Raw genomic sequence first — 25,660 nt, forward strand, 5'->3', positions numbered from 1 at the left:
AATTCCCTGAATTCAGAAAGTAATAATTTATATTTGGCAGGTAGTTCCTGAAACTGACACATAAGTAACTCAAGTATTAGCAGTAAATGAGAGTCAGAAACTCTCAAATTCAGATATTTTAAAATCTTCTTTTACATTGTAATTGATCAAGTAGGAATCAAAGCTGACTGGCGATGACTGGATTCTTTCCAAGCCTGAGAAATATATTTGGGTACATTACACTCAATGACAAATCAGACATAGACCCTAAGAATATGAGAGCAAGGAGGGATCTGAGAGACTATTTGGTTCAATCCTATCTTTATAAAACGAGAGAACTGAGGCCCAGAGAGGTTAAATAACTTGCTAAAATTCAGGCAGCCAGTCAGTGGCAGAAGCAGAACTAACTAGTTCCTAATCTCCTGGCTTCCAGGTATGTTCTTAACACCTTACTACAACATGCTGTCCCCTAAGACCATGCTAGGACCTTGTGTTTTCTTTGCTCCCATCTCTATCACTCTTTTCCTCTCAGTTGCTCATACTCCTGAAGGGACATTAAGAGTGGCCTGTGAGTTAATTTTCAAAATAAAATAGAAGAAATGGAAAGCAGCAGAGTGAGTCCAGACTATAGGGAGGACTGTGAGAAATAAGGCCAGAGTATTTTTTTTATTTTTATTTTTTGAGACAGGGTCTTGCTCCGTCACTAGACATGATCACGGCTCATTGCAGCCTTGACCTCCCAGGCTCAAGTGATCCTCTCACCTCAGCCTCCCAAGCAGCTGGGACCACGGGCGTGCACCGCCACGCCTGGCTAATTTTTTTGTATTTTTTGTAGACACAAGGTCTCCCTATGTTGTCCAGGCTGGTCTCAAACTCCTGGGCCCAAGCAATCCTCTTACTTCAGCCTACCAAAGTGCTGGGATTACAGGTGTAGGCCACCACACCTGGCCAGCCACAGTAGATTTAAAGTGATCGATATGATGGATCTGTAGCAAGAGTCAGGTCAGAATGCATGTGGAGAAACTATGGTGCCAGGAGAGGTCAGTGGGCCCATATTGGGCCCTCGTGAGCCCTACTTATGATTAAGCACCAGTTATGCTATAGAGGAAGTTAATAAAAAAGGATAATGAAGCCAGCCAGAGTTGGAAAAGAAGGAAGGAATCTCAGAAAAGAACATACATGGGGGTGGCTGAGGCATGTTAATAGCACAGGGGAAGAGAGAGAATTCATGAATCTGTTTTAGGGTCCTGGAAGAGCCCCATCTCTCTTATTAACAATTAAGGGACAGTAATGAATTAATGAGTTAATGGGAAAAAAATTAAGGAACAGGCTCCCTCACCTACTGCTTTATATGAGTCTATGCTCTCTGTCCCCACAAAGCCCAGCTAAACTAACCAAAACAGTCTACCATCCCATAGTTCATCAGAGTATCCAGAAACCAAAGGTGCCTACCATGATGATGACAACTTTTTACTGAGTCAAGATGAACTCTGATGTCAGACAGACCTGGGTTCAAATATCAGCCCTCCACTTACCAGCTATGTTACTTTAAGAGTTTCCTCAAAACTAAAATTTATGGATTAATTCAATAATCCATTAAGGCAATTATGTACAAATCCATGGAATAGATGTTAGTTTTTCTCATTATCTGTGAGACAGATTATACTGAGATCCTCAAATGAGTTTATTATTTGGTCTATACCTAACACTATTTTGGCAAATACCTGCTCTAGTGAGATCAGTTTCTTAATTCCTTAAATTGCAAAGTTTACCCTTATAACAGAAAACATAATGACACATAAACAGAAAAACTCAGGCAAAATTCTCCCATTAGGAATACTGAAGACACTTGCCTCATAACACATATACACAGAAAAGAGTACTATGAAAAAATTGTACGTTATCATTGCTTTCTTGAGTTCAAAGGGCTTGCGATTTTCCATGAGCTTTGGTCCCAAGGAAGTGACAAAATAGACATAGAATCCTAGGAGGATGGTTTGTGGCAGAGGCGAGGACATGAGGAGCCAATCTTCAACTCTTGGATCTAAGAGAAAAACAATATGTGAGTACACACCTGCTTAGCCAAGGGGTAACTAACAGCAACCAACATTTCTTTAACTGAGCACCCAGATCCTACTATTAACTGTGAGCTATTTGGGCAGTGATCACTAGTATCTTTAGAAAGGTGAAAAAGAAATCAACAGGAATAAGGAAGTATCCTGGGGCTAGAAACAGTGGGAGAGGAGCTGTATTATGCACTGATCGCCTGCATGATGGTATTAGTGCCCTTATAAAAGGCACCCCAGGGAGCTCTCCTGCCCTCTTTCCCCATGTAAGGATACAATGAGAAGATGGCAGTCTGCAACCTGGAAGAGGGTCCTCACTAGTACCCGACCGTGCTGGCACCCTGATCTCAGACTTCCACCCTCTGAATGTGAGAAATAAATTTCCACTGCTTATAAACTACCCAGTCTATGATAATTTCTTAAGCATCCTGAGTATGCTAAGACAAGTTTTGACTGTCAGTTGAGGGATTCAGCCAGCCCAAGACAATTCTGTAAGTATGGCGCCAGAGGAATAGATACCCCAACTCCACTCTCCTCCCTCTCTCCACTGGCTGAATCTAACCAGAAAGCATACGGCAGGGGAGCAAACCCAAGGATACAGTCTTCATGGATCGTTCTCCAGGGCCCAGCACAGGGTGCAAAGCTATCTGGAAGAGAGAACACCCAGCAACATCCCACCATGTGTCTATAGTCATTATTAATATCTTGGAGTTTTTCCATCCATACATGCTTTTATATATTAAAAAAAGTTTGTGTTTGCTGCTTAATTTTTTTCCTTCCCCAGGAAAACTGGCACACTTCCACATATACTGTATCACAGGATCACAGAATAGAAAGGCTGAACATCCTCTAAGTAGCTAAAGTATGGGATTTTGGAGTCCATGTGAGCTAACAACTGTGATATTCTGAGCAAAAAAAATGCACGGTCTCACAATTGCAAACAAAAACTTATCTGCTTACTGCCAGCTCCAGGCCAGCAGAGATGGATGAATAAAAAATTACAACTCAGGATGAAATGTGATTAAGTCTATAATTTCTAGTAGTTCAGGTTTAATTTTACTAAATGGCCTCATGAAGCTAGAGTATTATGAAGGAAAGGAAGTAAGGACAAGTTCCCAGAAGGACCTGACTCAAAATTATGCCATGACTAACCTCAGGATGCTAACTACTGTCACTTTTATCAATTGGAAAAGAAGGGTAGGGAGAATGTAGCTCTTGCTCTTTTAAGCTGCTAATGATGTGGCCAAGCACTGACAAATTCTGAATACCCCTGCAAGTGTGACTTCCCACTCAAAATTTCTTCAGTAGGACTCTATGACTGATAACTCACTTGGCCTCAATTTTAGTGCTGGAGTGCTTACATTTGACTATCAGATGTGCATGGGTGATTATTCTGCATTCAAATAAGCCTCCCTCAAAAATACTGGCAGAGGCCCCTCTCAAAAAAAATAAAGAAATAAAGCCAAAGAGTCAAGAGTCAGCTCCAGACTAGATCCCAGGACATTTAAGAATTTAATATATGATTAAGGAAGTCCCAGAAACAAGCAGGGAAGGAAGAGATCTTCAACAAATGTTGATAGGAAAACTGACTGCTTGGGAGAAAAATGAGTTTGTTTCTTATCTTATATCCTATACAAACAAGAATATTCCAAACTATGCATGGAAACAAGCTATTTAAAGACTTTCCACAAAGAATTGGGGAATACTGGAATGCTGGGTTAAACAAACAGGTTGCATTACTGCAGGATTTCTTAATGCTTCATGTTCATCATGAATTGCCACGATGGGAATGGCAGTATGCCATATTCTCCAAACGTATTTGGCCAAAAAACACTATTTTTTTTGTAGAATGTTATTTAACATCTTATGAAACTAATGTTCTGTGGAACACTAAAATAAATTTATAAATTAAATGACTGAAGAGTAGGTGGTCAGACATACAAAGAAGAGCTAGTACCAATCCTACTGAAACTATTCCAAAAAATTGAGGAGGAGAGATTCCTCCCTAACTCATTCTATGAAACCAGTATCATCCTGACACCAAAATCTGGCAAAGACACACCAACAACAACAACAATGACAAAAAAGAAAACTACAGGCCAATATCTCTCATGAACATAGATGCAAAAATCCTCAACAAACTAGCCAGGTGAATCCAGGAACACATCAAAAAGTTAATTCACCACGATTAAGTGGGCTTTATTCCTGAGCTGCAAAGTTGGTTCAACATATTCAAGTCAATAAATGTGACTCACCACATAAACAGAATTAAAAACAAAAACCATATGATTATCCCAATAGATGCAGAAAAAGTTTTCAATAAAATCTAACATCTATTCATGATAAAAACCCTCAACAAACTAGACATTAAAGGAACATACCTCAAATAATAAGGGCCATCTATGACAAACCCACAGCCAACATCATACCTAATGGGCAAACGCTGGAAGTATTATCTTTAAGAGCTGCAACAAGACAAGGATGCCCACTCCTATTCAACATAGTACTAGAAGTCCTAGCCAGAGCAATCAGGCAAGAGAAAGAAATAAAAGGCATCAAAATTGGAAAAGAGGAAGTAAAATTATCCCTGCTTGCTGATGATATGATCTTCTACCTAGAAAAACCTACCAACTCCACCATAAAACTCTCTTTTTTTTTTTTTTTTTTGAGACGGAGTCTTGCTCTTGTCGCCCAGGCTGGAATGCAATGGCATGATCTTGGTTCACTGCAACCTCTGCCTCCTGGGTTCAAGTGAATCTCCTGCCTCAGTCTCCTGAGGAGCTGGGATTACAGGTGCCCGCCACCATGCCCAGCTAATTTTTGTATTTTTAGTAGAGACAGGGTTTCACCTTGTTGGCCAGGCTGGTCTCAAACTCCTGACCTCGTGATCTGCCCACGTTGGCCTCCCAAAGTGCTGGGATTACAGGCATGAGCCACCACACCCAGCCAAAACTCTTATATTTGATAAATGAATTCAGTAAAGTTACAGGATACAAAATCAATGTATGAAAATCAGTAGCATTTCTATGCACCAAAGCATTATCCTTAAGAGCTTGGAACAGCTCTTCAACCCTCAAGCTGACAGCCAAATCAAGAATGCAATCCTATTTACAATAACCACAAGCACAAAAAATAAAACACATAGGAATACATCTAACCAAGGAAGTAAAAGATCTGTACAAGGAGCATTACAAAACACTGCTGAAAGAAATCATGGAAAATACAAATGGAAAAACATTCCATGCTCATGGATTAGAAAAATCAACATTGTTAGATGTCCATACTGTTCAAAACAATCTAAAGATTCAATGCTATTCCTATCAAATTACCAATGTTATTTTTTACAAAATTAGAAAAAACTATTCTCAAATTCATAGAAAACCAAAAATGAGCCCAAATAGCCAAAGCAATCTTAAGCAAAAAGAACAAAGCTGGAGGCATCACATTATCTTACTTCAAACTGTACTACACGGCTACAGTAACCAAAACAGCATGGTATTGATATAAAAATAGACACATCGGCCAATGGAACTGAACAGAAAACCCAGAAATAAAGGAGCATACCTAAAACCAACTGATATTCAACAAAGTCAATGAAAATAAGCAATGGGGAAAGGACTCCCTATTCAATAGATGGTGCTAGGAAAACTGGCTAATCATATGCAGAAGACTGAAACTGGACCACTACCTACCACCATACACAAAAATTAACTTAAGATGGATTAAAGACTTAAATGCAAGACCTAAAACTATAAAAATCCCAGGAGAAAACCTAACCTAGGAAACACTCTTCTGGACACTGGCCTTGGCAAAGGCTTTATGACCAAGTCCTCAAAAGCAATTGCAACACAAATAAAAATCAACAATTAAGACCTAATTAAACTAAAGAGCTTTTGCACAGCAAAAGAAACTAACAGAGTAAACAGACAACCTATGGACTGGGAGAAAACACAAACTATGCATCCAACAGGACTAATATCCAGAATCCACAAGAAACTTAAATCAACAAGAAAAAATAAATAACTTCATTAAAAAGTGGGCAAAGAGCATGAACAGACACTTCACAAAAGAAGACATACAAGCGGCCAACAAACATTAAAAAGTCAAATAATTACAGAAGTTGTTGAGGCTGTGGAGAAAAGGGAATGCTTATACACTGTTGGTGGAAATGCAAATTAGTTCAGCCATTGTGGAAAGCAGTTTGGAGATTTCTCAAAAAACTGCAAATAGAACTATTATTCAACCCAGCAATTCCACTATTAGGTACATACTGAAAGGAAAATGCCAAAAATATACATACACTTGCATGTTCACTGCAGGACTATTCATAACAGCAAAGACATGTAATCAACCTAGGTGCCCATTAATGGTGGATTGGATAAAGAAAATGTGGTACATATATACTGTGGAGTACTATGCAGTCATTAAAAAGAACAAAATCATATCCTTTGCAGCAACATGAACGTAGTTGGAGACCATTATCCTAAGCAAATGAACACAGAAATGCAAAACCAAATGCTACATGTTCTCACTTATAAGTGGGAGCTAAGTCTTGGGTACATGCAGGTATAGATGGGAACAACAGACTGAAGAATCCAAAATGTGGGAGGGAAGGAAGGGGACAAGGGCTGAAAAACATACTTTTAAGTACTATGTTCACTATATTCATGATGCAATCACTAGAAGCCCAAACCTCAGCATCAGACAATATAGCCTAGTTATAAACTTGCACGTGTACCACCTGAATCTAAAATAAAAATTTTAAAAACAGGTAGTGATAGTGACAGATAAATAGGAGATTATTTTGAAATACAGTAAGGAAGAAGAAAATATAAAAATTTATAATTGGTTAAACACAGGGAATGGAAATAGGTAAATGTTAAGAAAAATATTCAGATTTCTCACTTATATGTGGGATGTAAGAATCAAAACAATTAAGTCCATGGAGATAGAGTAGAAGGGTGGTTGCCAGAGGCTAGGAAGGGTACTAGGGGGGTTGGGGGGGAGGTGGGAATAGCTAATGGGTACAAAGAAAATAGAATGAATAAGACCTAGTATTTGGTGGCACGACAGGCTGACTTATAGTCAATAATAATTTAAATGTATGTTTTAAAATATAATTGGATTATTTGTAACCCAAAGGATAAATGCTTGAGGGGATGGATACCCCCATTTTACATGATATAATTATTACATATTGCATGCCTGTATCAAAACATCTTATGTATTCCATAAATATATACACCTACTATTTACCCGCAAAAATTAAAAAAAAAATTTTTAAAAGAAAAATACTCAGATCTTTAAATTCACTTAGATTGGGAACACAGGATTAGGAGCAATATTGGTCAAGCAGAGGTGGCTTATGTTTTAAAACATCTTACACTTAGACTGCCTTTAAAACATTCATATGAAGTCTTTCATAAGCAGCTGGATATATGGATCTAGAATTAGGAGAGAGATCTGTGCCAGAGATATAAGATTGAGGGTTGCCATCACATAAATGATGAACAATAAAAGCAGTGAGATTGGCTTAGGCTAAGTGGGTACAGTAAGGAGAGTAAGTGCTGAAGTCAGGATCCTGAGGACTCAGCATTCACAGAAGGAATTACTGAAGGAAAAAACATAAAAACCAAAAAGGAACAGCTAGAGAAGTAGAGGGAAAACCATAAAAGTGAGATATCCTGAAGCCAGGGAAGAGTGGATTTTCGGAAGGAGTCAAAGCATTAAGTGTGGCAGAAAGGGGAAATAAAATGGGGACAGAAAAATGCCACTACATTTAACAAAAGGACGTCTCTGATGCTCTCAGCAGAATAATTTTAACAAGGTGTCATGCACAAAATAGAAATTAAACAAAAGTTTGATGACAGACACTTTTCAAAACATAAAGTTCTATAATTTCGGAAGTATTTTCTCATATTAAGATTTGTCACAGTTCTAAATCAGGAAAAACTTTGAAATCAGCTACCCAGGTACACATCACTGAAATCTTTTACTGCTTCTATTGGTTCCCCTCCTTGCTTTTAACAATGGCAAGCTTTCTAGGATGTCTCGTTGTTTTGTGCAATTAAAACCACCACAAGGAAGGCTTGCTATGGGTCTGTATGTCACAAAGGAAGTCTCCATAAATAAAAGTTGTCACAGAACCAGGGACCAAGGGAAAAAATTAGAACTGATCAAACTTTGATAGATTTCTTCTATAAGTGGGTAGTGCAAACCTTAAATACATGAACATCATTGTATTAGTCCACTCATGCACTGCTATGAAGAAATACCCGAGACTGGGTAATTTATCAAGGAAAGAGGTTTAATTGACTCACAGTTCTGCATGGCCTGGGAGACGTCAGGAAACTTACAATCACAGCAGAAGGCACCTCTTCATGAAGTGGCAGGAGAGAGAATGAGTGCCAGCAGGGGAAATGCCAGACAATTATAAAACCATCAGCTCTTGTGAGAAACAATCATGAGAACAGCACAGGGAAACTGTACCCATGATTCACTTATCTCCCACTAGGTCCCTCCATAACATGTGGGGATTATAGGAACTATAATTCAAGATGAAATTTGGGTGGGGATACAGTCAAACCATATCATTCTGTCCCTGGGCCCTCCCAAATCTCATGTCCTCACATTTCAAAACACAATCATGCCTTCCGAACAATCCCCAAAAGTCTTAATGCATTCCAGCTTTAACTCAAAGTCCAAATCCAAAGTCTCATCTGAGACAAGGCAAGTCCCTTCTGCCTATGAGCCTGTAAAATCAAAAGCAAGTTAGTTATTTTCCAGATACAATGGGGATACAGGCACTGCATAAATATACCCATTCCAAATGGCAGAAATTGGCCAAAACAAAGGAGCTACAGGCCCCATGCAAGTCCAAAATCCAGTAGGGCAGTCATTAAATCTCAATGCTCCACAATGATCACCTTTGACTCCACGTCTCACATCTAGGTCATACTGGTGCAAGAGGTGGGCTCCCATGGCCTTGGGCAGCTCTGCCTCTGTGGCTTTGCAGGGTACAGCCCCCTTTCCTGCTGCTTTCACTGGCTGGAACTGACTGTCTGTGGCTTCTCCAGGTGCACAGTGCAAGCTGTCAATGGATCTAGCATTTTGGGGTCTGGAGGATGGTGGCCCTCTTCTCACAGCTCCACTAGGCACTGCCCAAGTGGGGACTAGGTGTTTGGGGTCTGACCCCACATTTCTCTTCCACATTGACCTAGTAGAGGCTCTCCATGAGGGCTCTACCTCTGCAGCAAACTTCGGCCTGGACATCCAGGAGTTTCAATACATCCTCTGAAATCTAGGTAGAGGTTCCCAAACCTCAATTCTTGACTTCTGTGCATTCACAGGCTCAACACCATGGAGAAGCTGCCAAAGCTTGGGGCCTGCACCCTCTGAAGCCATGGCCCAAGCTGCACCTTGGCCCTTTTTAGCCATTCCAGGAGCAGCTGGAATGCAGGGCATCAAGTCCCTAGGCTGCACACAGCAGGGAGCCCTGGGCCCAGCCCCAAAAACCATGTTTTCCTCCTAGGCCTCCAGGTCTGTGACGGGAGGGGCTGCTGCCAAGGTCTCTGACATACTCTGGAGACATTTTCCCCATTGTCTTGGTGACTAACATTCAGCTCCTGCTACTTATGCAAATTTCTGCAGCAGGCTTGAATTTCACCCTAGAAAATTGTATTTTCTTTTCTATCGCATCATCAGGCTGCAAATTTTCCAAACTTTTATGGTCCTTCCTCTTGAATGCTTTGCCACTTAGAAATTTCTTCTGCCAGATACCCTAAATTATCTCTCTCAAGTTAAAAGTTTCACAGATCTCTAGGGCAGGGGCAAAATGCTGCCAGTCTTTTTTCTAAAGCATAGTGTTATTTATTCCAGTTCCCAATAAATTCCTCATCTCCATCTGAGACCACCTCAGCCTGACCTTCATTGTCCATATCACTATCAGCATTGTGGTCAAAGTTATTCAACAAGTCTCTAGTAAGTTCCAAACTTTCCCTTTTTTTTTTTTTTTTTTTTTTTAGATGTAGTTTCGTTCTTGTTGCCCAGGCTGGAGTGCAACGGTACGATCTCGGCTCACTGCAACCTCTGCCTCCCGGGTTCAAGTGATTCTCCTGCCTAAGTCTCCCCAGTAGCTGGGATTACAGGCATGCGCCACCACGCCCAGTTAATTTTGTATTTTTTAGTAGAGATGGGGTTTCTCTATGTTGGTCAGGCTGGTTGCGAACTCCCGACCTCAGGTGACTCACCCGCCTCGGCCTCCCAAAGTGCTGGGATTACAGGCATGAGTCACGGCGCCCGGCCAAACTTTCCCATATTTTCCTGTCTTCTTCTCACCCCTCCAAACTGCTCCAACCTCTGCCTTTAGCCCGTTTCAAAGTCACTTCCACATTTTCAGGTATCCTTATAGTAGCGCCCCATTCTGAGATACCAATTTACTGTATTAGTCCATTCTCACACTGCTATGAAGAAATACCCAAGATTGGGTAATTTATAAAGCAAAGAGATTTAAATTTGCTGGGGAGGCCTCAGGAAACTTACAATCATGACATAAGGCACCTCTTCACTGGGCAGCAGGAGAGAGAATGAGTGCCAGCAGGGGAAATGCCAGATGCTTAAAAAACCATCAGATCTTGTGAAAACTCACAATCGTGAGAAGAGCATGGGGGAACTGCGCCCATGATTCAGTTACCTCCCACTGGGTCCCTCCCACGACATGTGGGAATTATGGGAACTACAGTTCAAGATGAGATTCATATTACTATGTCTAGTTGTTATTGCTAATGAAATAAAAAACTAATGAAAACAATACTGGCCAGGCGCCATGGCTCACACCTGTAATCCCAGCACTTTGGGAGGCCAAGGCAGGTGATCGCTTGAGGTCAGGAGTTTGAGACCAGCCTGGCCAACATGGTGAAACCCTGTCTCTACGAAAAATACAAAAATTAGCTAGGCATAGTGGCGCACGCCTGTAATCACAGCTATCTGGGAGACTGAGGCATGAGAAGAGCCTGAACCCGGGAGGTGGAGGTTGCAGTGAACCGGAGATCATGCCATTGCACTCCAGCCTGGGCAACAGAGTAAGACCCTGTCTCAGAAAAAAAAAAAAAAGGAAAGAAAAACAAAATACCAAAAGAAGACCTCTGGAAGGATGTTACATCACCACCTTTGCATGGTGGGAGTTTAGTTGACTTTTGTTTTTTCTTTTGCTTTATAAACAATTTCAAATGATTCTATTATTAACAGTCATCACACATATGGTTAGAAACGAGCTTAAATGTCAGTAAAAGAATTGCTGAATGAGAGATATATTTTATTTTATTCTTTCATTGACTCAGGAGGGGGAAAAATCAAATGACATCATTTCTCTGTTCTTCCTCTGGTAGCAGTAGAAAGAAAACAAGCCAGGAAAAGCATGCTGGGCTGGCTCAGGAAGCAGAATAAAATAATTTTAAAATAAATAATTTTTTCCCGTAATTTAATATTTTCAGCACACACCTTAAGTCCTGTACGTGACTTTCAAGTTCTACAGATAAAAAATAATTATGGGAAACACTGGTTAATTTAATTGGATGTTATCTTCAAAGCAAATAATAAAACAAAATACCAAGCTTTAGAAATTCTATTTCAGCAAAACTCTGGAGTCAGACAGTCTGCATTCTGATCCTGGTTCTCCCACTGGCTCGCTATGTCACCTTGGGCAATTGACTCACCTTCTCTGTATTTAGTTTCCTCATCTGCAAATTGGGCATTAAAAGGCATGTATTTCATAGAGGATTGATTGAGTTACTATATGTAAAGAGCCTAAGTGCTCAATAAGCTTGCTACTGTTATTATAGCAGATCTCAATTCTGTTAGCACAGCCAAATTGACTCTGCAGTATTTAAAAGTCAAATTGCAAAAAACAACCTTGGTCCAATTGAATCAGAATCCTAGGACACGGTTTCTATGCATCCATTTTTTTAAATGTGCAAAGGACCTGAACAGACATTTCTCAAAAGATAACAAATGGCCAACGGATAGATGAAAATAATTCTCAACATCACTAATCATCAGGAAAATGCAAATTAAAAAAACAAAGAGATATAACCTTACATTTGTAAGAATGTCTGTTATCAAAAAGACAAAAGATAACAAGCGTTGGCAAGGATGTGGAGAAAAGAGAACCCTTGTACAATGTTGGTGGGACTGTAAATTACTATAGCTATAAGGAAAACTACATGAAGGCTCTATAAAAAACTAAAAATAGAATTACCATATGATCCTGCAATCTCACTTCCAGATATATATCCAAAGGAAATGAAATCAGCATATTGAAGGGATATCTGCACTCTCATGTTCACTGCAGCATTATTCATAATAGCCAAGATGTGGAATCAACCTAAGTGTCCATCAATGGGTGAATGGATAAAGAAAATGTGATACCTGTCAATCTAAAGTTATGCCTTTCTGAATTACAGACCTGTAGACACATAGATAGAAATAACCAATGGACTATTATTCAGCCTTCAAAAAGAAAATCCTATCATTTGTGACAATATGGATGAACTTGGAAGACATTATGCTAAGTAAGATAAACCAGGCACAAAAAGGCAAGACATGTTATCACTTATAAAGGAGTCTAAAATAATCATATTTATATAAGAAGAGTAGAATGGTGGTTACCAGAGGCCAGGGGGCTGGGGAAATAGGGAGATGTTGATCAAAGGGTACAAAGTTTCAGTTCAACAGAAGAAATATCTTTTTGACATTTATTGCACAGCATGATAACTAGAGCTAATAATACTGTATATTTCAAAATTGTAAAAAGTAAATTTCAAATGTTTTCACCATAAAAAGATAAGTATTTGGTGATGGATATGCTATTTGGATTGATTTAATCATTTTATATTGGATACATATATCACAACATCACTTTGTACCCCATAAATATATGTAATTATAATTTGTCAGCAGCCAACAATTTGTTAATTGGTGACCGTGATGAACTGTCATAGTTAAGAGCTAGGGGTCTGGTGTGAGACCAAGTTTCCTCACCTGTATTTAGGGCTACAGCACCCCTCACTAGGTACTCTTCAATAGTCTTTTATATGGTTTCACTGCCTCCTGATCCAATCTGCTACATTGGTCTTCCACGCAATTGTCAAATTCATTTTCTAAAAATCAAGTCCTAAAATTCTTCCTCTGATAAAATTAGCTCTCCCTTACTGAGAAATAAAATTGCTTAAATTAGCTCTCCCTTACTGAGCAAATAAAATACAAAATCATTAGGATGACACCCATGACTCCGGCCATTGTTCACTTTTCTGGCCTTCTCTCTCAGCAACAGTTATACCTTTCTGAATAGAGAGTCCACTTCCATGTAAGGTAGTGGGCATGTTACAGGGAGTATCAATGCACCTGCTGGGTGACAGTTAAAGTTAATTCTGACTCTGTTTATGATCCCATTTGGGATAGTGAATAGCAAAAGTTGGATAGCAGGGGATCTGTTCTTCCAAACAGCTCTATTTCAAAACACTGCACCCACAGCTACTTGGTTCCTAAGCTCAAATAATGAGAGTTCAGGTAGCAAGGCACACCTCTATTTGAAAAGCAATGAAAATATTAGTATTGAAGTTAAATACTGAATTTATGAGAACTACTATAAACCTTCATAAAAGGATGACCCCTAAAGAAACTTGAATGTTCCCTGTATCATTACATAAGTTGAAAAAGTTAGGGTTAGGCATGAGGTGCTCTGTCTTCCCCAGAAACAAAAGGCTAATGGGGTGGGGGATGTTTCATGTACCTTCTTTTTGGCATCAGATTTGGTTTAAGTGTCATGAGTAGAGCCATGATAGAAGCAGAGGATGGGAAGGCAGGCTGTCTGACAGTCTATACCCCAATGATTACCAAAGTTCTGATTTATTACTAGCTTAATAATTCGTTTCTAAGAGTGTCCCAGGGAGAGAGCATAGGGAAAGTAGAATGCCACATACATAGAATATTAATGGGCTTTTCCATCAGCTGCTTCTAAGAGAGTATTCTCTTCTTAAGTAGCAGGTACTGGCTCAAAGAGTACATCTTTAAGATTCCAAGTACTAATGAAATGAAGAAGCTGGAAGGAAAAGCAAACATGTACCTTAAGTACTTTTTGAAGTATTAAAGTTTCAGAATGGCAGCAATCTTACTCATACTCCATCTTCTTGCAAAAAAAGGATCATGACTAAGTCTGAAAAGTCATCATTTCTAATCAAACGCAAGGAAAGCTGTATTTTAAACATTAAAAACTTTTTCATTTCTCCATTATCCAAAATGCTACCATAGCATTATTTCAAACTCTCACATTTCACATCTAAGAATCCAAATAAATCCTCTTATAGCTAAGTATTAATTAAACCATTTTTTCTTCTGTAGCTGTGGAATTTTTCCACATGAAATAACTATGCATGACCACTACTTCTCTAGCAATCAGAAAACCAATGAATATCAGTAAGTTTCCTTACGCTACTCAGGGTTAGGGCTAAAGCCAAGAATACACTTGAAATTCTTGGCCCTTGATCATAAGTTCAGACATTTCCAGGGTAAGCAGACTAAAACTGGACTAAGATGGCCAAAAATGATTCCTAATGGATCTCAGAGATCAATACTACACTAAGTAGAAGGAAAAAACTTTCCTGTTATGCCTGACAGCGTTTTTTATAAAGCTGTATATCTCAAAACAAAACATTTTAACCCTTTTAGACCATGCCTGGGAAAAAAATTATGTAAAGAAAACAATTTTTAAGTATATGCTATATGAAGAGAATTTTCAGATGAAATCTATCATCTGTAACAACCAGCACCACTCTTTTATGTTGGGATACTTCCGAAACAGCAGAGCACTTTCATGTATGTTATCTGGTAGCTGGTAGATGCTATTCTCACTTATGTTTTGCTAATAAAGAAACAAAGACTCACAGCCAATAAATAACGTGTTCAAGATCATCCAGCTGGGCTACAGCAGTGTCAGACCTTAAATCTAGGTCTTTTCACTCCAAATCCCCATATCCTCTCTCCCCTCCCAAGTCTTCAAATGAGCATAACTTCAAATACAAGTATTCCTTGCCTTCTCCCTGCCTCTCTCCCCTCATCTTCCCTGCACCGTTTGCAATGCTGTTGTCAGGACTCCACTCCACATCTAATCTAATTTTACTCAGCAATTTCAATGTAGGTATTCCTAATAAAAATTAAGGAGTTGATCCATGGATAAAAGTGGAAGTGGAATTCTAAAGAAGTTCATATTAAGGCATTTTTAACTTCTAGGACTACATAGATATTTATTATTATCTACATCTATTCAGCTCTTGAGTTAGCATATTGATTATTTGAGTCTCTTGGATTCTTGTATCTGGGATAGTGACTATCAAGAATTGGATACCAAGAGATCTGTTCTTCCAAATAACTCTATTTCAAAAACCCAATCTACTTGGTTCCTAAGTTCAAATACTGAGAGTTCATGTAGCAAGGCACACCTCTCCTTGAAAAGCAATGAAAATATTAGTATTTAAATTAATACTGACTTTATGAGAACTACTGTAAACCTTCAGAGAAGGATGACCCCTAAAGAAACTTGAATATTCTGTGTATCATATATTGGAAAACTAAGAAAAAAAAGTTAAGAAAAGATAGGCATAGTCACTATGTATCCCCTACCACAGTGAAGCTTCTCTCTCTATGAGATACTTACAAAGAACCTTGGCATTCCTCAAAGGAAAAACTGTTGGGAACACTTTTAGTGAGATAAATTTGGTCTTTAGTAGTCTGCTGAGAAAGCTGCAAATGATGAAACAGTGTATCTTTGCTGAAATCGTTGTAAATTTGACTATAATTTCATCTGTGGTAGGTGCCAAGAGGTGTGCATTTCCTTCCTGAATTTGGTAGACTTGCAATTTCTAGTTGATAGGTAAGAATCAACCTAAAGTAGTGATGGTGGTGAGTATGTATAGCTCAATATCTCAAAAATAAACTCAAATGTTAAATACCAGAGTACTACAACTAATAACCAGAACACATAGGTTCTAGTCTTTTCTGCCATCTTGACTTTGAGGTCACATTTCTTCAACTGTAAAATGAGGCATTAGCTTCGATGATATCTAAGATCCATCTCAGTTCTAAGATGCTCTGATTCTTTTTTTTGAAATTTTACTTTTGTTCTGCTTTTAAAACTTTAAAAAATGGTTATAAAAGCAACACAACATATTTGTTGTGATTTAAAAATATGTAGACAAATATAACTACGGAAATAAAAATTACCCATAATCCTACCCAGAGATAACTGCTAAACCCCATGAAAGAAATGTATGGAGTATTTTATAACCTGCTTTCATTTAACATATTTTAAACTTCTTGCTATGGCATTAATGTCTTCTGAAACATTGACTTTTAAAATAAATGGGCAAGGGTAAAAGGCAGGCATATCAGAATCACTCGGAGGTGTCCCAGGCAGTCATTCCCTGGTTTTCCTGTTCCCTGTTCACTCTGACAGGTTCCTGGGGGCTGCAACTCTTTCATTCAAAAGAGTTGGCAGTGGCCGGGCACAGTGGCTCACACCTGTAATCCCAGCACTTTGGGAGGCCAAGGCGGGCGGATCACGAGGTCAGGAGATCAAGACCATCCTAACACAGTGAAACCCCGTCTCTACTAAAAATACAAAAAATTAGCCAGGCATGGTGGTGGGTGCCTGTAGTCCCAGCTACTTGGGAGGCTCAGGCAGAAGAATGGCGTGAACCAGGGAGGCGGAGGTTGCAGGGAGGCGGAGGTTGCAGTGAGCCGAGATTGCACCACTGCACTCCAGCTTGGGCGACAGAGTGAGACTCTGTCTTAAAAAAAAAAAAAAGAGTTGGCATTAACTGTAATTTCCCTCAGGAGCATTAGGGAAGAATCAGGCTGAAGAGCACTGTCCTTCCAAAATCACTTTTAATGGCTACTAAGTTAGAATGAGTCATCATTTATTGATCAGTTCCCTTCACTGGATATCTAGGCTATTTTCCTTACTGTAAACATTGTAATGAACATCTGTGTAGCTCCATCTTTGTACATATCTGTAATGAAACCTGTGCACTTCCTCTTCGTTAACTAGTAATAAGGGACTGTTAAGTTGCAAAGTCTCTCATTCTGTTCCAGTGAAATCCTATTAAATATGAGAATCTGACATAAAAAGGAAGGATGAACCTCAATTAGGAAATGTGGTTACTCACCAGCATCTTTGATCCAATTATCATAAAGATGCACAGTCCTCGATGTAAGATCACTGAAGGCCATTTTCCACAGGATTTACTGGCTCTTTTAATGGGTTCTTCAGTAAAATAAAACAGAAATGAGTTTATAATCTATAAATGCAAATAAAGTCAAGCTTATAGTAATACATTATTTAAAATGCTAAAAATTTAATATGAATAACTGGCAAGACAACAAACTCCCACTGAAGGCAAATGCATAAGTAAATTACTTTAAACCCTGATGCAGTTGCAGACATTTCGGGTTTTCCATCCTTCTAGAGACACTGCTAACATCACTGAAAAAGACTAATATTCTATGTACAAGACTCAAAAGCAGTAAATGACTCTAAGAACTTTCATAGGAGCAGCTCCCTTTTATGCTGACAACATAATTCAGGAACGGACTGCACTTGAAGTGGCAAAGCTAAAGCAGAAACCCTGGAGAAGAAAGTCAAGAGATACACAAACTTTCAGAGAAGATAAACTGATCCTAGACTTAGAGCTCATCTTCAGGCCTCATAAAGTCATCTATATGCAAATTTTTATAATTTAAGTAGAATAGAGACAGAAAGAGGGAAAGGAAGGTCTATAATATCCAAGGAAAAGCTGCTTAGTTTATCTAGACAGATAGACAAGAATAACTGGAGAAAGAAATCTGAAAAAGAAGACCAGTGAGGAGAAACTAGCCTTATTATGTATTAAAAGATATTATAAATCTGCAATAATTAAGACACTGTGGCACTGGCACATGGAGAAACGAACGTAATAGATTAGAATGTTCAGAAATAAACTAAATACACTTGAAAATTGAGAACTATATTTCAGTAACTAAATATTTTAGTAACTAAAATATACCTAAGATGTATATTTTACCGTATTTTAACATCTGTAAAATCAGGACTCACCTTCCAAATGAATGGTATGCCATAAAATTACTGGTATATTTGATTCAAAGCCATGTGGTGGGAACATGTAAAAGTTCTAGAGATGATGGTGGTGATGGCTGCACAACAATGTAAATGTACTTAATGCCACGGAAATTCACACTTTAAAATGGTTAAAGTGGTAACCATTTAAATGAAAATATATATAAAATGGTGAAAATAATAGGTATATTTTACCATGATTTTTAAAAATTGGCCGGGTGCAGTGGCTCACACCTGTAATCCCAGCACTTTGGGAGACCAAGACAGGCAGATCACCTGAGGTCAGGAGTTGGAGACCAGCCTGACCAACATGGTGAAACCCCATCTCTACTAAAAATACAAAAACCAGCTAGGCGTGGTGACGGGTGCCTGTAATCCCAGCTACTCGGGAGGCTGAGGCAGGAAAATTGCTCGAACCCAGGAGGCAGAGGCTGCAGTGAGCAGATTGTGCCACTGCACTCCAGCCTGGTCCAGCCTGGTCCAGCCTGGGCAACAGAGTGAGACTTGGTCTTAAAAAAAAAAATCTTCTAGGGTTCCCACAAGAAAATTCAGACTTTCCTCTGGATTCTAAAGTAAAGCCATTTTACTTACGTAAGTATAGGTAAAATTATATATGGCATATGCTATATGATAAAGGTGGCATCTCCAATGATTGGGCACTGAATTACCAGACATTAATCACTAAATGGTGTGGCACACCTGGACAGCCATCCGAGAAAAAAAGGTTCAATCCAAGTGTTATAATATAAACCAAGATAAACTCCAAATAAAGCAAATATTTAAGTAAGAACAACAGAACCATGAAATCACTAGATGACATAGTAGAAGACTTTTATAACCTTGTAGTGGGAAAGGCCTTACTAACTAAGACCTAAAATTCAGAAGACATAAGAGAAGGCTAACAAATTTAATCATAAATGTCAAACAGTAAAAAATATGTTCAATTCATATCATAGACAACGGCTACTCTCCCTAATATATGACAAGTTTCTAAAATTGATAAAAGACCTTAAGTCAATAGGAAATGGGCAAAGTTCACAGAAAAGGAAATACAAGTGGCACTCAAACATATGAAAAGTTGCTTAACTAATCATATTTAAATAATCTGCAATATTTTTTGTCTATTGAATAGGCCAAAATTCAAACATTTTTTTTATCAAATGGGCCAAAATCCAGACAACCATTAACTGTGTTGGCAGGAGTGTGGGAAATTCTCTCTCTTCATGCATTACTAGTGGAAGTACAAATTAGTGTAACTCTTATTGAGGACAATTTGCCATTATCAGTCAAAATTATAAATGCATACTTTTAACACAGCATTTCTACTTCTAGAAACTTATCCTGTAGAAATACATACACATATTCAGAAGGGCATATATGCAAGTTTATTCATTGCATCAGTAAGAGCAAAAGACTGGAAACAACCCACATGTCTACTAATGGAGAGCTGGTTAATAAGTGATAACAGATTTAACACCATGAAATATTATGACATTGTAAATAAGAATGAAGAACCTCTCCATGTACTGATATGGAAATATTTCCAAGATAAATCACTATTTGAAAAAAGCAAAGAGCTGGGCGCAGTGGCTCACGTCTGTAATCCCAGCAGTTTGGGAGGCTGAGGTGGGCAGATCATCTGAGGTCAGGAGTTCGAGACTAGCCTGGCCAACACGGTGAAACCCTGTTTCTATAAAAATACAAAAATTAGCCGGGCATGGTGGCAGGCGCCTGTAATTCCAGCTACTCAGGAGGCTGAGGCAGGGGAATCGCTTGAACCTGGGAGGCAGAGGTTGCAGTGAGCCAAGATTGCGCCATTGCACTCCAGCCTGGGCAACAAGAGCGAGACACTACCTCAAAAAGAAAAGAAAAGAAAAAAACAAAGAAAGTACAAAATTTAAAAATGATGACCTTGTATATAAAAGGAGAAAAGTCTTATGAATATAATTTTACATTTACTCATAGTTGTATAAAAGGAACTCTTAAGAGGTAGACACGAAAAAGGGAATGGGGTACAAACTGGGCTGAAGGAATGGAAGAAAGATTTTATACTGTTGTTTTGTGGCTCATATAGATATTTTACCTATCTAAAAATAAAGAATAAAATCAGCTGTACCTTTACTGGAACATTCCTACTTAAAAACCCATATACAAATACACATATGCAGATACACCCAAAATAGAAATTTTGTCTAAATTCTTTAAGAGTTCATCCCCTCCAGAGGATTTCTCCAAGTCCAGGAAGGCATGTCAGCATGGCCTCTGTATTGATACACCCAGTCTTCTCAGCTGAGTTCAGACTCAAGACTGGCTGTGGTGATGCCAGGGTCTTGCCAGAGTCTGTCTGGACTCTTTATTTTCCTAAAAAATCATCTCTCATCTCTATAGCAAAGGTGTAATGTGGGGTTGTGAGCAGGGGCTCTCGGCTCACAACAACCTTAGTTTTTCAATCCCACCATTTAATAGCTGTGTGACTCCAGCAAAATTACAGCTCAATTTCCTAATCTGTAAAATGGGAATTCCATTAATTACCCACCAAGATAAAAGAAACTAACTCATAGAGTTGTTTTGAGAACCATATTAAATAATATATATTTGTAAGGTTTGTAGCACAGAATCTGATTTTTTAAAATGAGCATTCAATCAAACTTATCCTTTTGTTTTAGTTTTAGGGTGGTTGTTTTTGTCTGCTTTTTTGGTTTGGTTTTGTTTTCTGAGACAGGGTCTGGCTCTGTCACCCAGGCTGGAGTGCACTTAGAGAGCTTGACTCACTGCAGCCTCAACTGCCCAGGCTCAAGTGATCCTCCTGTCTCAGCCTCCCAAGTAGCTGGGACTACCAAAGCATGCCACCATGCCTAGCTAATTGTTTTATTTTTTGTAGAGATGGATTTCACTATGTTGCTCAGGCTGGTCTCAAACTCCTTGGGCTCAAGCAGTCCGCCTGCCTCAGCCTCCCAAAGTGCTGGGATTACAGGCGTGAGAAACCGCACCCAGCCAAAATCAGCCATTTATCATTTAGAGAGAGAAATTGTGCCAATTTATGGGTACATACAGACATAAAGATTAGACACTGGGGACTTCAAAATGGGGGAGGAGGAAGAGGAAAGGAGAGAGGAGGATGCAGTCTGTAAAACTTCCTATAGGTACTATGTTCACTATATGGGTGACAAGGGTAATAGAAGCTCAAATCTCAGCATCACACACTATACCCTTGTAAGAAACCTGCACGTGTACCCCCTAAATCTAAAATATATTTTTTTAAGTTGTGCCAATTTAGTAGGAAAACATCTGGCCATCTCATTACCTGGTACAGTTAAATGGCAGTTTATGGAACAAATCTAGAAAAAACTCTACTACTTTTACTTTAAGAGCTAGCATATAACAGATTGTATGATTCTTCCCTTTATGTCTTCCAATTGTCTTAGTATGAGTGTTTGAGACCACACAAAAAGCTACATTTCCCCCTCACCTTAACCACTGATATACCAGCCCTTGACCCATTATTCTCAAAATTAAACTACTGAAATAAGGCTCGTTAAGTTATTCAGAATCAGAGTGAAATATTCTAGTTTTACAAGCCATGTGGCAGGGTTAGAATTCAAAGTATTATTCTGTATCTGTGCGATTTTTTTCCTCTTCTTCTTTCACTGCCTCCACATAGGCCATTTTCCCCTCCCCAGTCCTCACCGAAGCACAAAGACTCAAAGAAACCACACTCTAATGCAGGTCAGAAATATTCACAGGCAGCCAAGAAAGCTGGTTTCTCCAATCCCAAAAACTATACAAGACTGAGACGAAGGAAGGAGGAAAGGCAGAGGAAGAACCCAAACTAGATGAGGCAGGAGTAGATGTCATCAAAGCCAGCAGGAGATGAAGGACTACAGAGTTATGAAAAAGATCCAGTAACCATAGCTTTTTGGAGTGTGGACTCCTCTCTCACTAATCCACTGCTTGTAGATAATCTGTTGTCCTGTCCATAGTCTTTACTATTTGTGGGCCCACCAGAAGAGAAGGAACATCCACAATTGCACAGGGATGGGACACAACAGAAAAACCTGATCCCCCTTACCTTGTTGGAACTGAACACAAACTACTGAGAATTTCCTTATGAGCTGAGAGTGATGGACTGGATGCCAATGTTACATTGTAGGGACTGACTGGTTTAGAAAACTGTTAACAACTGAATTATATTGCAAGTATAATGATACCCCTAGACTAGACCCAGACATATCTTTGCCTTCTTTTACCATGACTCATCATGGGCACTTGATTGCTAGACAATGGGCACATAAAGATAGGAGGCAAGCCTGGCATGGTGGCATGTGCCTGTAGTTCCAGCTACACGAGAGGCTGAGGTGGGAGAACTGCTTGAGCCTGGGCAACACAGCAAGACCCCATCTCTAAAAAAAATTGGAGGGAGCAATTTACTCCATGTGGTATAGGTGTATAGGTGGTAGAGATATCCTTTAGTTAACAGCAGAACCAGGACCCGAAAAGACAATTTAGAATATCTGATGGCAAAGAAGTTCAGACCTGGTGATGGCTTAAAAATCAAGGCTCTTGTATGAATGAAGCTCACCAGACTATTGAGCACAAGAGAACTGGATAGAGAAGACTAAAAATGATCTACAAACCTATCCCCTTGATGCATCCCTGCCTCATCCGAGGTCTGACCATGGCTGGCCTAAGTTTAGTGGAGGTGCCCCATAGTCTCAACATGGTCCACACAAACTTTTCATGGAGCAGAGAGCTGGAGCAGGGAGTTGGTTAACTGCTTGAGCTATTATGAGAAGACTGAAGAGATACTATCAAGAGTTTGAGGAGTGGGAGGCCCTTCAAGATGGGTCACAGGAAGCTTTGGTGTTCAGATTGTTTTTGGACAAGCACCCACTGTACCTCTCAATGCAGTAGTTAAAGAGGTTGGTGTTATGCCACAGAGGTTCAGAAACTCATCTCATATTTGGGTAACATGAACATGCAATTTCTCAAAGGAAGAGTGGTAATTCATAAATAGGATAATACTGCTACAGTTTTTTTTGCCCAGACCTGGAAGCCATGGGGAGAAAAATGGGCTCATGAGACTGAACTGCAGCATCTTCAAAGCGCTAGCTCAACACTGCCCTAAGCTAGCAGGCACCAAATATCAGGATGACATGTTGCTGCTTAAAGTAAAATCAAGTAGAGGAACTAGATTTGGGTTTGGGGGTAGCATACACAGAGCCCTGGAAACATTAAAGTTCAAGAACTTTAATCTGACAGACTCCTGATACCCAAGAAATGAAGCAGAGACTTAAAACTCTAAGCAAGGGTAATGTCTTATCCTGCTGCTAAGGGGATGTGGACCTCCTACAAAGTGAGCAGCAGAGGACAGAAGCAAGAGATCCTTGTCATTTTTCTGGGAGGACTCTCAGAGGACTTGTCTGAAATGATCTACTTGTAAGACTACAATAAAGAGGTGCCAGCTGCATACAATATCCAAGTCCTGGGGCCCATGATGGTGAAAAAGAAGAAAGTACACTAAAAAAAGAAGTATTGTACCATAACACTACCTGACTATATTTTTAGCAGTTGTTAGAGATCAGAGCTCAGCAATGAAGACATTGAGAGGTTGAGAAGAAGGTAATCACAAGAAAGCAGTGGCCCAGAATTTGGAGCTACCTTAGATTATAAGGCAGTAGAAAAATCACCACCCCTCCATTAAGGGTGGAAGAAACAAGAGAGATACTTCAGAGGAATAGCTAAGGCTCACAGTCAGAGCTCAGCCTGCCTCCAAAGGCCTGAAAAATGTATGGCAGGAGTAGAGTAAACAGGAGCTCACTCATGAGTACTGGTGCTGGTGTTTCATTGCCCCACGTCTGCAACTGCCCCATGAATACTGCTCCTTGATTTTGATAGTATCACATGACAACTCGGTCATTTGGTAACGAAGTGACTTAATTTGCCTCTTTAGACCCAAATTAAAGATGTCAGGTTCAAACATGAGAAATGCGCCTTCTTCGTAGAGCAGAAATCCCTTCCCATAGGGCAACCTACCTGGAGACTATTCAGAGCCACAAGCTGCCTACGTTAGCATGATGTAGACCTAATACCAGAACATACACAGTGTGCCTGGGCACCTGGTCACTTTGTCCTTTTTGCCCAAGTCTATCTCAACAGTGATCAGAAGGCAGAACTCTGGGAGAGCATCTGGTTGGAATTCACTCAGATGAGGATGGGACCTCAGATGTGCTTGCAGTGGGAAGCACCAGACAAGAGCCCAGAAATCATGGCCAACCATTTCCAGGTAGACTTTCAAATGTAGAGATTTATTCTAATTCTGCAACAGACATTGGAGACACTGTACCTGAGGGAAAGGAGTGGTAGAACCAGCACATGGCTTTCTAGGGCATACCTTTAATCCAGGAACACAGCTATATGGTTTTCTCTTTCTCTTTTGATGTTTGGGAGGTTCTGGCCTCCCCACTGATCTCTGCTTTAGGAATCAGATATCAGGGACAAACCTGGAAGAACAGAACTGGCTAGCCACAGATGCTGCTCAAGGGACCACACACTGAAATGAACTGCAGGAAGGTACCAACATAGGGATGGAGCTCTGTGGTGGAACTGGGGACTGCAGGGTAAAAACCAAATGCTAACCTTCCTATGGGAAGATTTGTCTGGCCTCATATGGGGGATGGGGTGTTTGAAACTTTACCCTTGTACAGAGTAAGGGAGGAGAAGGGTACAGGGCAAATCAAGCTATTCCGCAGAAATAATAAATCCTTAATAAAGAACGGATCAGAACATGCCTTCAAATGCAGAAGCTGTTGAGCAAAAGCAGTGTGGAGAATAAAAAGGCAAAGGCAGCTAACTGTGACTGATTAGATAGGGACAGGGAAGTCCAGATGTGAGTCAGAATGGGGCAGTGGGATCACAGCCCAGAGGGTGGTGAAAGCCTCCCCGAGAGGAAGGTACTGAGAGACAGGACTAGCTGGACTTCCTAGGCCGACTAAGAATTCCTAAGCCTAGCTGGGGAAGGTGACTGCACCGGCCTTTAAACACGGGGCTTGTAACTCAGCTCACACCCAACGAATCAGGTAGTAAACAGGGCTCACTAAAATACAAATTAACACTAAAAGCAGGAGATAAAGAAATAGTCAAATCATATATATCACCTGAGAGCACGGGGGAGGGACAATGATTGGGATATAAACCCCAGGCATTCCAGCAGGGAGCGGCAACCTCTTTGGGTACCCTCCCATTGTATGGGAGCTCTGTTTTCACTCTATTAAATCTTGCAACTGCACACTCTTCTGGTCCGTGTTTGTTCTGGCTCAAGCTGAACTTTCGCTCACCATCCACCAGGGCTGAATGCCGATGTCGGAGACTCGCCACTGACTTCCAACCCTCCGGATCCGGCAGGGTGTCCACTGTGCTTCTGATCCAGTGAGGCGCCCATTGCCACTCCCAA

At 39.9% G+C, this 25,660-nt stretch overlaps 1 protein-coding gene across 8 annotated transcripts in view; it reads right to left on the reverse strand.

Moving 5' to 3' along the window:
• Nucleotides 1-25,660, reverse strand: part of ELOVL7 (ELOVL fatty acid elongase 7) — a 92,479-nt gene that overhangs the window by 18,280 nt on the left and 48,539 nt on the right. For 5 of the 8 annotated variants that reach the window (NM_001104558.2, NM_024930.3, XM_006714695.5 and 2 more), the window contains 2 exons: nt 17,264-17,361; nt 1,833-2,023 (listed from right to left, as the gene is read on the reverse strand). In NM_001104558.2, the coding sequence (NP_001098028.1) occupies nt 1,833-2,023; nt 17,264-17,327 (255 nt within the window). In that variant the 5' untranslated portion in view covers nt 17,328-17,361. Of the gene's footprint in view, nt 1-1,832; nt 2,024-14,023; nt 14,143-15,753; nt 15,982-17,263; nt 17,362-25,660 lie in introns of those variants that run through there. The other 3 variants (NM_001297617.2, XM_047417776.1, NM_001297618.2) reach the window with 3 other exon arrangements.

This window comes from Homo sapiens, chromosome 5 (assembly GCF_000001405.40).
Source record: "Homo sapiens chromosome 5, GRCh38.p14 Primary Assembly".
Lineage (NCBI taxonomy): Eukaryota > Metazoa > Chordata > Mammalia > Primates > Hominidae > Homo > Homo sapiens.